The 12,335-nt window shown below is 41.2% G+C and overlaps 1 protein-coding gene across 57 annotated transcripts in view; it reads right to left on the reverse strand.

The window, feature by feature from the left end:
• The window catches only part of RBFOX2 (RNA binding fox-1 homolog 2), a 290,089-nt gene continuing 278,090 nt past the window's right edge, over positions 337–12,335 (reverse strand). For 36 of the 57 annotated variants that reach the window (NM_001394108.1, NM_001394111.1, NM_001394110.1 and 33 more), the window contains 3 exons: positions 8,074–8,162; positions 7,524–7,596; positions 337–5,850 (listed from right to left, as the gene is read on the reverse strand). In NM_001394108.1, coding sequence (NP_001381037.1) covers positions 5,806–5,850; positions 7,524–7,596; positions 8,074–8,162 — 207 coding nt within the window. In that variant the 3' untranslated portion in view covers positions 337–5,805. Of the gene's footprint in view, positions 5,851–7,523; positions 7,597–8,068; positions 8,163–12,026; positions 12,059–12,335 lie in introns of those variants that run through there. The other 21 variants (XM_005261429.3, XM_006724186.3, XM_005261428.3 and 18 more) reach the window with 2 other exon arrangements.

Genomic DNA, 12,335 nt, shown 5'->3' on the forward strand with positions numbered 1-12,335 from the left:
AGTGGGGCCACAGCCCCTGGCAAGGACAGTGTCTGTGGTACAGTAAAGGCAGCAGTTGAATCTAGGGGAGGGTGGACGGTGAAGAAGTGAAGCTGAAAGATTTCAGAAGCAGCTTTTGGACAGACTGGAGTTCACAGCTGGGGAAGCTGAGAGCAGCTGACACACGCTTACCTTCTGGCTTCTCATCACCATTTAGAACGTCTCACCTTAGAACGCCTGGCACTTTTCCTTCTTGTCCCCCCCGCCCCCCGCTTAAAAAGTCAAATCCAAGTGGTATCTTTGGAGCCTCAGGCAGAGGCAACAGGGAACGAGGATTAATACACACAGCCCAAAGAATGGTGTTTCTCTCTTTTATTTAAAAACAGTGCTTCATTACCATGTGCAAAGGCTGAGGCAGTGCTCCTCCTTCGCTTAGAGTTTATAAAAGCCAGCAACATGATCAATAATTTATACACATGGAGAGTAATACAAAAAAATAAGGAATAAAAGCTAAAGATCTAACTACTCCGACCTTCACAATTCCAGCTACTTGATAATAATAGGAGTAACCCAATGAATACTGTATGGTCTGAAAGCTACTATACAATATGATTCTTAACGAGAAGGGAAGGGAATTAGAGACTGTCACAAAGCCCTGGGATGCTTCTCTGGAGTTAGCAGGGAAACAGGACCCTGGGCAAGCAGCTCGGGTGTCCTAGGAAGTGATTCTGGGGGAGGACGGGAGGGGAGAGAGAAGGCTAGGTGGTCGATTACACAAGCATCCCATGTAATGCCCCCATGCCCCAAAGGTACCTGTTTTGCCATGGCAATGGGAGGGGCTGGAGGAACAGCATGTTGCATGTAGGGATGGTCCGGTCCCTGCCATGGGGAGTGGGGAGAAGAGGAGAGGTTCTGTGGCATTTTGAGCCTTGCAAAGATTTGGACTGAAAAGCTCAGAGACTCAGGTAGGTCAGCCTGTCAGGGACAAGTACACTCCACCGGCTCTCTTCTCGCTTTGCAGCCCTAGCTTACGCGTGTCAGCCCCAGGTTTGCTCCAGCTATTCACAAGCAGAATATAACACAAGAAAAACAATTCATATCCCTTAGGGAAAAAAGAGGATCAATTCATCACTCAATATATAATACAGCCAAAATGAGCTGCCAAAACAAGCACACACACAAATACTGTGAACAGAAAAATACAAGAAAATGACTAAGCTGGGAGTCTTGACGGGGTATGGACATTGCTTAAAGCACTTATCAGTCCCCAGAAAAACCAAACCAAAAACATTTTTTAAAAATTCAGAAACTCATGTACCCCCTGGGAAACTGGTGTTGGTAACAAAGGGCAGGGGGTGGGGAGAGAAAAGAGAATCACTGCTCCCTTTTTGCTCGCCAGTGTGAGTGGAGTCCTCAGGTCACCGGCATGTACACAAGTACCAGACAAGGAGGACCAAGTCCCTCTGCTGGTGGCCTCCTAAAAGGCAAGGCTTGAGTTTTGGCTGATGAGCAGTTCTCTCCGTTACCAATCCCTGCCAACCAGCACTACCATGGCTGAATTGATCTACCGTTTTCCTGAGTAAACTGTAACTGGCTACAGTTTCGGTAACATGGAAAAGAACTCAGCTACTACAGCCAACTGCAATACTTCAGGAACCCCCTCCATCCCTGGGCTCCTCACTCCTAGTGCATCTGATTGAGGAATCTGATAACTTGCTGCAGTCTGGTCTGTTAGCCTCATTTGCAAAGAAAGGTGCCAGGGACTCTATTACACTCACTAAACCAGAGGGCACACGCTGGCTTAGGACACCCAGAGCCTACTTGGAAAGGGCCCTGTTTCATGCTCTAGCTCTTGGATGGCTATTGCCTGGCTGATCAGTAAAGCAAGTATGAAGGAAGTACATAGGAAAAGGAAAGGGAGGGAAGAGGCTTTTGGACAGTAACATTTCCAAAAAAATATAGTGTTTTATGCAACAGAGAATCAAGTTTCACTGTGTATACTACAAATGGTCAAACATTTTCAAGAGCATGACAAAATAAAAACACACAAATTTACGTCTGATGTTCACCTTGCCCACTATTTTTTTTTCCTATCTTAAAACAGTGCAAACAGGTAACTTATGCTTTTAAAACACCACGACCCCTTCCCCACCCCCCAAAGTCCCTTTCCTCCTAGTATCTGGGGGAAAATCTGCAATTCTGCAAATGTTACTGCGCTAGAGGTTGCAAGCAGCGGAGAACTGGCTGAACTTGGCAAAAGGCAAGGACTGGTCAAAGCTTCCCCTTTCTCCTCCTTAAACATCTAAGTGCTTTCCAGTCTGTCCCTTGGTTGGCCTTGTTCTCCTGCCAGAGGGAAGGGGGTTCATCATGCCCTTCTTGCATATCCTTGGGGTTGCTTCCATCCCTGTTTGATGTCTCCCTCATGTCTGGAAGCTATATAACTAGTTACAGGATGGTAGTGATTAACCCACTTATCTGCTAGATCTCTAGTAAAGCATAATTCTAAGCTAAGAGCAGTTTAGCCCCTGAGGAGTCACACATTTGAGGAAAAGCTGCTATCGATGACTTCTATTGTCTAGATTTCCACTAGCTCCCCTCAGACTAAAAGTTGTGCCCCAGTCCACTTCTTTCTCAAAGAAAAAAAAATGTTGGCTCAATTCAGACTGTGGCTGTTGAAGGATGATGGTGATAGTAGGTTTTGTTAAACCTGAGAGCCTGACAAATGGTGAATCACAATGGCTGATCTGAGTTAATGGAAATTGAACTAGGTGACATGAGGAATTCTGGAAAATGCCTATGGGCAGCTCTCTGGGCTCTAAGAGGGACATGGAGATAAAGGTGTTCACTAGAGGCCTCCTTTAAGGAGCCCAGCTTCCAAGAGTACAGAAAGTCCAGGTCATGAACTATAGTAAAGCTGAAAAAGAATCATGCATGTACTGTGATTTAGCATCAGTAAGTTTTCTGGAATTATCAGCCAGCATCCTCTAACAAACTCACGAAATGCCAGACTCCTCTGACTCTCTTTTTTAATACAGTGAGAACCAGAGTCAGGAACAGACAAGCAGTGCTGCTTCGAGCAACCTGCCTCTGGTGAAGTTGACCGTACGGAGTCTCAAAGTTCAAAAGGTGACGGGGAGGTTGATACTGTGAAATCCAGATGCTTGCAAGAGCCCCAATTCTCAGTGTTGACACTGAAAACCAAAGACCCTTTCATAAAAAGCAGAACTCCATTTATTCTTTCTTAGAAAAGGGAGCTGGAGGAAGCGGTGTTAAACACCATCCCTGGAAATGCAGCAGAAACCACTGGAAAGCACAGAGCTTGCCTTTGGAGGCCTCAGCCAGAACCAGCTGAACTGAGATGCACTCAAGGTGCCTCAAGCTCAAGATTCTGCCTCTCTTAAAAGGTCTGTGGGAGCCGCCTTCTCTACCTTTCCCATTATCCTTACCTCTTTCTAGGAAAAAAGAAGAGAAAAACTCTTAAACTCATTCTCCTATTCTCCCCTGCTATGGATAAAACCATTTAGAATTTGGCCTAGTCTCCACTGAATACGTGGCTTGCCATCTTTTGGGAATGGCCCCTTTGTGATCATGACCCCAAACTTCTGTTTTTTTAGTCAGCTAAAGTTCTCCCTCAAAGCAAAAGCAAAAGCAAAATCCTCCCTGCCCCCATTCCCTAGAACTGTGAAAGCCCGCATCCCATTCCCCGCTCCTCTAACTAAAATATTTATATACATACAACAAAAATTGTCTTAACAGCAACAAACCAAACTTTGGCTTGGGGTGGGGGGACCCTTAAAAATGGCCAGTGGACTGGGCAGTTGGTGTCCCCTTATTCTCTGTCTTCCTCCCCAGAGTCAGTAATAATTGCATCGAGGCCTCTAGCTTCCTTGACATCGCCCCTAGTTTCAGGCACAGCCTCTCTCCCAGTTACGAGGCGAGACAGGATTCTGAAGGGGGAAAGGATATGTATTCTACACAACAGGTCAACGCCCTCTCAGATATATCACTCTGCTTACAAAGAATGCTTGATGCTGTCATAGGTCAGTCATTTTAATTCAGGGACATGAGTCAGTTATCAGTCAAGAACATGTGTGGAGGCAGGAGTTAAAAACAAACCCAAAACAAACCCATAACCAGAAGCTCCATGTCTCTGAATTACTCCCTTTAGCAGCTGTCCCTTGGGTGAAAGGTCACCCTAGTACCAATGTGACTAGACCAGGGAGCCAAAAAGACCGTGCTTTTCTATTTCCTAATGCCTTCATTTGGGAAATGCTGTAGGACACTTGCTTTTATCAGTTCTATCTAACAGCTAGAAGAGAAACACTCCCTCCTACCTTGATAACATAGAAAATTACAGCCAGATGGCAACGGCAGTGACTCACTGCGCGACTCTTTCTGGTGATATAGAAGACCCTTGCCATCGCAGACCCTCCTTCCAATATGGGAGGGCAGCAATCTCAGGGCCTCTGCATTTTATGTCCTGTAGTGTTAATGTGTACAAAGTGGTCCGGGTGCTCAGCGGGGTGTTTTTGGAGGACAGTGAGAAGCTCAGCGGGATAGCCACAGGCTCAAGACTGTGGATAGAGAAGTGACTCATAAAGGCTCTGGAAGATGAAAATTCCTATGGCTTTGGAGCAAGTACAAAGTGCCTCTGCCTGCCCTTCCATGTCCTCATCACCAAAACTTCCAGGGACTACTGACCTAGGACCTGGTACTCTATCTTTCCCCAGCAGATTCTTTATTCTATTTTTTAAACTTTGTACTTTCTGAGGCAAGAAAAAAGTAAGAAATACCAGATCTTCTAATATTCCTTTTCCCTTCCTCACCCTCTTTAATGGCTGTCAACAATTTGTACTTCTAATCCTCAAGACATCTGGGGGAAATCTGGTCACTGGCTTATTCACTTTTCTGTCCCTGGGTCCTAAATTCCTGAATCTTATGGACATGAGAGCAGGGTGTTAATAAAAGAATACATGAGCTAAGCTGTGGTTCAATTAAAGGAGAAGAAGCCTAGAAGGAATGCTAGGTTACAGGAACAAAAAGAAATGATCTTTTTCATACTCCAGAGTTCATTCTGAGATCGGTTTCCTAATGAGGTGTTTATTATCCACTGTCTGAGAGCACGTTTGGAAATATCAATACTATAATTCCAAAAACTATGCCAGCTGTCTCAGGCTGTGCGTGTAAGATGATTGTAAAAAGAACGGAGAAGACAGGAGGGAAGAGGAGAGGAAAGCGTCTTTTTAATTCTCCTGCTTTGTAAGCACAAATTCCTATCTATCAGCATGTGGATTCCAGCCACAGCCAACCAGAATTGCCTGTCAAAGACCAGAAACTCAGAAGACTAGAAGAATATCCTGTTGCAGAAAGATCTCTTCCACTTCTGCTTGTCCCCCAGTCATTCAGCACCAGATACACTTTGGTAATTCTGTCTGCTGATTTCTGATCAGATGCATTTATCGGCTCCTAATGTCTCTCCTTCCTCCTTGACTGCCTCTTCCGTGATTGATAGAATAAGCTAAGCACGGACATACAGACATGGAAATGCATTATTTTTTTTTTTTTTACCACAGTTTAAAAAAAAAAAGAAAAAAATGCACAATCTTTGGAACAAAAGAATTAAAGGCAGAAATTTAAAGGAAAAATACATATTCAAAGAACATAGTGAGGTATAAAAAAGTATTCTTTCTTTTTTTGTGTTTTTTTTTGTTTGTTTGTTTGTTTTTCCTCTTCATCTTGCTATAGAGTTCCTCTACTAGTAAATATTGCAATAGCCAGGCCTCATGAACTGGGGGGCTGTCCCATTTGCAGGGGTCTCACGTCACTTCAGTAGGGGGCAAATCGGCTGTAGCCACCTCGGTATAAACTCGCCTGCAGTAATTAAAGAGATAAAAATAATTAAAAGGTTGATGAGAGAAGCATTAACAGTGAAGAAAAATGTCCAGAGAGGGATCTAGAAACAGCCTGCTTCGAAGCCTCAAAGCAACTGATCAAGCATTGCCTTGTGCAGTGAAGTCAGGAAACCAACTTCTGCTTCTAAGGTGCTCAGACCAGAGCCCAACACATTTATTGCTGACCTGATATTCTCAAGGAGAGTATGACGACATTTTATTTCATTATTTACATGAATTAGCACAGAAGGGAAACAATACACAGTTGAAAACAAGTTCCGCAAAGAGTTTGATTTTTAAAAGCACAGGTTTTTGTTTACCTTGATACAGCCTTATAATCCTGGTGGAAAACAGATCACCAGTTTCTCCTTCTCACATATGACCCATCGGCAGTGCACGTTACTTCTGACACGATCCCTGCCATGTGTGGTCACAGCCCATGTTTGAGATGGTGCCACATCTAAACCTGAGCCAGTCTTTAATAAAGTCTGTTTCCTCTATCATCTACGAAGCACACCAACTAGGCTGTTTCTTGACATATTCACATTTACATATCTAGCTGGGGTTTTAACTAGGCTTTATTCCTTTATGTTTATCAAATGACTTTATCTAATGGCTTATCTCTTTCAATTAGAAGTTTCCCAGGAATGCATCTTTCTCAGGTCATTCTTTTAGCATAGGACTTATATCATTTTAGGACGAAATACAACCTCAGGCACTTCTACCACTGCCGTTATATTGTAATGCTCTACTTCATTTATAAACATATATTCCCTCAGGGCCCCCTATTACTTCCTTCCACAAATCTTCATCAGTAGAAATTTGGTGTGAGAAGTAGCTTTCTCATATTCCTTTAGGTCTTACATTTTACATTTCATTCTGTCTCCTTTTCAAACAACTCTACCCATGTCCAGAGGTAGTTGCCCAGTTGCATTTTGGATTAGAGAGAAAGCCCTGGCAGAGGTGTCACTGTGGAATGGCCTGTCTTTGTTGCAGCCTGTGAGTCCTAATCACTGAAACTGGAGGCATCCAAGCCAACACAATAATACTGCAGTGAGGTGGTTGGTCAGAAGAAATTATGCTAGTTCTATGGACTTCTTCGATACTTCTATCAACAACACCATATTTTGCCACAATTGTTATCAATAATCAATAATAAAATATCCTATAAAGCATTCACTTAGGAATTTCTAGTACTATCTACCAGAAGGCTTAGGAAGAGCAGAGACATCCTTTAGATTTGCATTTGAAACTTAAGTTTTTGAAAAGCTTACTGTGAATACTACAGCCTTATGCTCCATGCTCCTTTGCCAACACCTATCAATGAAACTATGCCACAGGTATGCACTCAACATTTGAACCAATAGAAAACATTCACCAGTTCCCCTATTTCTCTCGCAAATCATGCCACTACTCGGGGCATATTATCAATGATCATTCCTTTCTGCTGCCCTTAACTAGGCCATGTGGCTCACATTATAATAACACACAAATAAAGAGGGTGACATGAAACTTCCAGGTAGATCTATGTGGCTTTAATACCTTGATGGTGGATGAAAGGCTGAATTTACTACCTCCCTAGATCTTCTGTAGTCTACGGGTAAAAGAAGGAATGAAATGGTTTTATAAAGCAATGGTATATTATATACTTACCACAGCGCCAACTCCATAGCTAGCGGCAGGGGCAAGGGCATGGTAGGGGTCGGCTGTGTACACCCTGCCATAACTGGAAAGAAGAAACACAATCAGACAGATAAAGAAAAGTGTATGATCTAAAAAAATTAAAGGGATTACTGTGCTTTAAGACTTGTGAGTCACTTGGTCTTGGATTATCATAAGGAAACTGGAATTACAAGGAATAGGAAAAAACCTTTCTATTTCTACTCCCAAATGCAATAACTGAAAAAAATCTGAAGTACTTCCATAAAATGGAAAAGAAAGGAGTTGGAGATGAGGAAGAGAGGGACTGGAGTCAAAGTCAAAGAAGAGATGAGAACAAGAAAGAGGGAGTGGAGGACAGAGTCGGTGCCTTGTGCTTTAGGCATGACAGAGGCCATCAAGAGGTCTGCAGAAAGCCCAGGCTGGCAAGATGCCCGATGTGCTAAGAGCTGCTGTGGAAATGGTGAAGGGAGGAAAATGGGTGACATTTTGGGATGGAACAGCTCTCATGCATCCCAAAGCTCACCACTGTCTCTGTACATACCCGTCACTGTAAGCGGCTGCAGCGGCTGCAGCAGCGGTGGCTGCGGTTGCAGTAGCAGGCTGTGCATATCTGTAGGCTGCATATCCACCCTACAGGAGAGAAGAGAACTGACTTTACAGATACCTCTCCCCCCAGGTGTACAGAAAAACACACACCCGCCCACACACAGACGTACACACATGTAGACACAGGGACTGACACAAACATAGACACACACATGGGAAGAAAATGTTTCAAACTGCATCAGTCTGCATGTTATTATTCCTCCAATAAAAAATTAAGCCCTACGATATGCAAGGATTTGCTTTCCAATTTGTGATAGTATTAAAAGTAAAGTTTGGTAGTACCTGTTAAATACAAGGAATGAAGATATGATTTTGAATCTGTCTTACTTCACAGTCTTTGTTGGAACTTTCAAAAGCGAAAATATTTACAGCAAGTTGGGAGCACTCTGACAAGAAATATAAATTATAAAGTTAAAATATATGAAATCTGTATGTGTTGACTTCAGATTCTCTAACGTGTTCTTGGATTGATTCATTAATAAGAGACTACAGCATGTAACAGAAACCTCTGCTCCATCCGGCCTAGCATGTTTGCCAAGAAGCTAAGATAATCAGGTAATATTTAGAAGGAAAAACAATGTAGATCAGGGGTCAGCAAACTCTGGCCTGTGAGCCAATGCAGCTTGCCACCTGTTTTTGAAAGTACTTGTGACAGAGACCAATGTCCTACAAAGCCAAAAATATTTACCACTTGGCCCTTTACGGAAAGTTTGCCAACTCAGATCTACATTTCATACTTGAGCAAATCAATTACAAATTTCTGAGGATTCTTTGGCTGGATTCAAATAGATCAGGAACCCTGCTTCTAGCACTTAACTGCATTTTCCTTCCCTAAAAGGTTTTGAGATTCTTACATATTAATCTTACAGTAGACTCTGAGCTTTTCTTCCAATAGTCCAAATATCCTCTCAGTCCTAAAGAATTTCAAACCATCACATCCTTCTATTTCAACTCAGTTTAGATAACTCAAATATACAAAAGGTTTTCACTATCAGGGTGAATCATGCACTCTTTCAGAAAGCATTTCAAGAGACAATCACAACAACAAATGCTTGCCACATGAGACAGGATATTTTTAAAAGTGGCAAACTCTACTTTTTATTATTTATGAAATAGAATTCATCTATTTTACCTAAACGTAATTCAGATGCAAATTTTTATTATTGGCCTTTCACTATCAAAAACAACTATGTTCAACTGGCCCAACTGAACATCATTTCAGTAGTGAACAATAGCATAAACATTTTATTTCTGTGGATAAAATGTGCTCATTTCTCATGGATATCTGAAGGTTTCTGCCCTGTGCTTTCTACTTCCTATTTTTTCAAATGTTCGATTTTTCTAAATCTACAAAAGAAATTTCAAATTTACTTCTGTATCATTTCTTGGGATTGAGAACAACTATTTTCTAAGGGGACCCCTGTTCTTCTTAACCATCTTGCATGGCAAGTCCTAGCTTGCTTCTTTTATTTGTTACCCCTTATTTTAGAAATACCTATAATTTCTTATGAGCTTCTAAAGCCTTTTGCTTCTTCCTTATATAATTTATGCTTTCTCTAAATGAAGAAACTGCATTGTGAGGGAAATTTATTCCTGCTCTTCAAGTTTATGCTGCTTGAAGTCAGGGTAGTTTCAAATGTACTTAAAAAAATCCCTGACTGGCTTTCAGTGGTTATACATTATTCCTCCTTTGTTTTTCAAATGAGTGACTTAGAAAGTAAACATTTCCTTCTTAATTACGAATTCTTCCAGAGATATATGAAGACTCTAATTAATATTACCAAACACTGACAATGAAATGGTAATGAATGGGAACATGGCAGGAAGCACCCTTGGGGGCCGTTTCTGATCAACATGGTTCCTTGGAATTCTAGCCAGGATCTGGGCAAAGCTGTAAATCCTGGCCACAACATAATTAAACTAACTAAAGTATTTCTTTACCTTTTTTTTTTTTAAGCATTTGTTAAACAAAGCAAATGTTAATTACAGTTGGAATTTTAACACTAAAATGAACCCTAGTAATTTTTCATTATAACTAGAGATGGTTCCATTAGTTTAGAATTTGTTTGCTAGTGTAAAGTTACAGCAGGGCTATTTAGTAAAACTTCTTTGCAAACAAGGGTAATTCAGCATTTTACTCTTTAGTATTACTCCAACCATCAAAGTAACATTAAAAAAATTTTAAAGTTAAGGCAACAAAAGCAGTTAAAGCCCAATTCATGTTTACCTAGGTAAAAAAATTAAAAACTGAAGTCTTATGCCATACGGCAGAGGTATAAATTCTTGCAAAGGGATACTGAGGTTCAAAAGTACTCAACCAAGGGTAGGTTTCACACCTGACTCTCAGGAAGACTGAGTGAGGTACTGGAGGTACGATCTCTGAGTATTCTATCAAATCATGGCTTTAAGCTGTATTCTTAAAAAACAGGTTCTAAGTGAGGTTGCTGACAGAACCAATTTCCCCTCATTTTCCTAGGCCTACAGGAAGCCATAGGAACCTTGGTGGTTTAGGAGTAATGTTACTGCTAATCAAAACAATTCAAATGGATCAGACTATGGAAAAGAATCTTCCTTCCAATCCAGAAGGAGATGGAGAGAATCTATCTGTAGCGGTTTCCTTCTTTGATAAGTCAAGTCTGACTTTGAAGTTTAAACATGATGAAGTTCTCTGCTTTTCAAGTGGAAGAAAACAGAACAGGGTTGGCAAATACTTTACTGAAAACAAAAGGCTCAAGAATATCAGCACTAAGAAAAAACACATGAAGAGTTTTTTTTAAAGCAGATGACTTTAACATGATTATTCTCCTGATTACTTTATAATAATGGCATTACAGAGAAACCTTTAAAAGATGAACTATTTTAGGATAGATAGGCAATATCCTACTAAACTAACTTGGTAATTCACTAATGACTACTCCAAAAGTAGAAAAATTAATTGTGTATCATGGATGTATTCCTCTCTCTCTCTCTTACACACACACACGCACACACACACATACACTTACTCGAAAGTATTTTTGCTGCTTTATTCAACAAAACATATCACAAAATGTGAGAAAAAGAAAATTCAGATATATTTATTTCTATTCCAGATTTCAAAGTGCATAGAAATTTCAGGCTGAGAAACCGTTTTTTCAGCTTTCACTCTTACTAGCAAATCTAAAGGCTTTTATAAAACATGAGAACAAAGTGCAGTTTGAAACACCAAGGTTTTCATTACTGTTTCTTAAGTTTTTCAAAAAGAACAAGGGTGGGAAGGAGGTAGAAGAGACAGGGTTCAGGCGTGGGGAGGGATATGGCGCCACATTTATTAATCACATTAAAAACTAAGCATGCCAACATCTGGAGCTAAACAACCAGCAAAATCACCACGTTCAGACTCGTATTGGCTAACTCTATCTATCCCAGCATTCTCTTGGGACAGCGGTTTGCCCTAGGCTCTACCACAAGCTCGGTGAAGTACACAGCCTCAATTACTAGAGCGTGCAGCCACAACGACCTGGTATTACGGAAACAGTCAGTCACCACTTGAGTTAACATTCCATACCCTAACGACTGGCCCCTCCCCAGCCCAAAGAAATAGTCAATCTTGCCCACCCTAGCCCTGGCCCACACCACAATGTTAATAATTATAACAAGCAGTAACCCATCTGTTATATCAGAGAAGGGAACAGAGACTCCACTGAGAGATTTAGAGTGAGATGTTAACATTTCTTCAGCTGACTGCACAAACAAACAAACAAAAAAAGAGGAGAAATAATTCATTTGGAGATATGAAGTCATGAAATAGCTGATGTGTATTGCTTTTAACCATGCACTGATGCAAAACTGAAGCAACCATTAATAATAAAAATTAAAAAGGACATATGTATTTACACACAATCAGACCTGTTTGATCTGAAGCAGTTTGCAGATTCTATCTGTGTGTGATTTGAAATAAAACAAAAAATGGGGATTAGCATGGCCACAGCACACCCTAATGTAGGAGGGCACACACGGACGGCTTTTTGGAACTCTGATAGCTGGATAAATTTGGCTTGGCTAAGCTTGATTCAGATACACACATGCCCCTTTAAAAAGAATTATTCTTATTCCTTTGCAATTCATTCTGAATGATACCTGGTGTCCCCAGTGGGGCTGCCCAGTGCTTCATCGCTCCCCTATTCAACCTGCCTGACACTGGCAATATAATTCAGT

Source organism: Homo sapiens, chromosome 22 (assembly GCF_000001405.40).
Source record: "Homo sapiens chromosome 22, GRCh38.p14 Primary Assembly".
Classification (NCBI taxonomy): domain Eukaryota; kingdom Metazoa; phylum Chordata; class Mammalia; order Primates; family Hominidae; genus Homo; species Homo sapiens.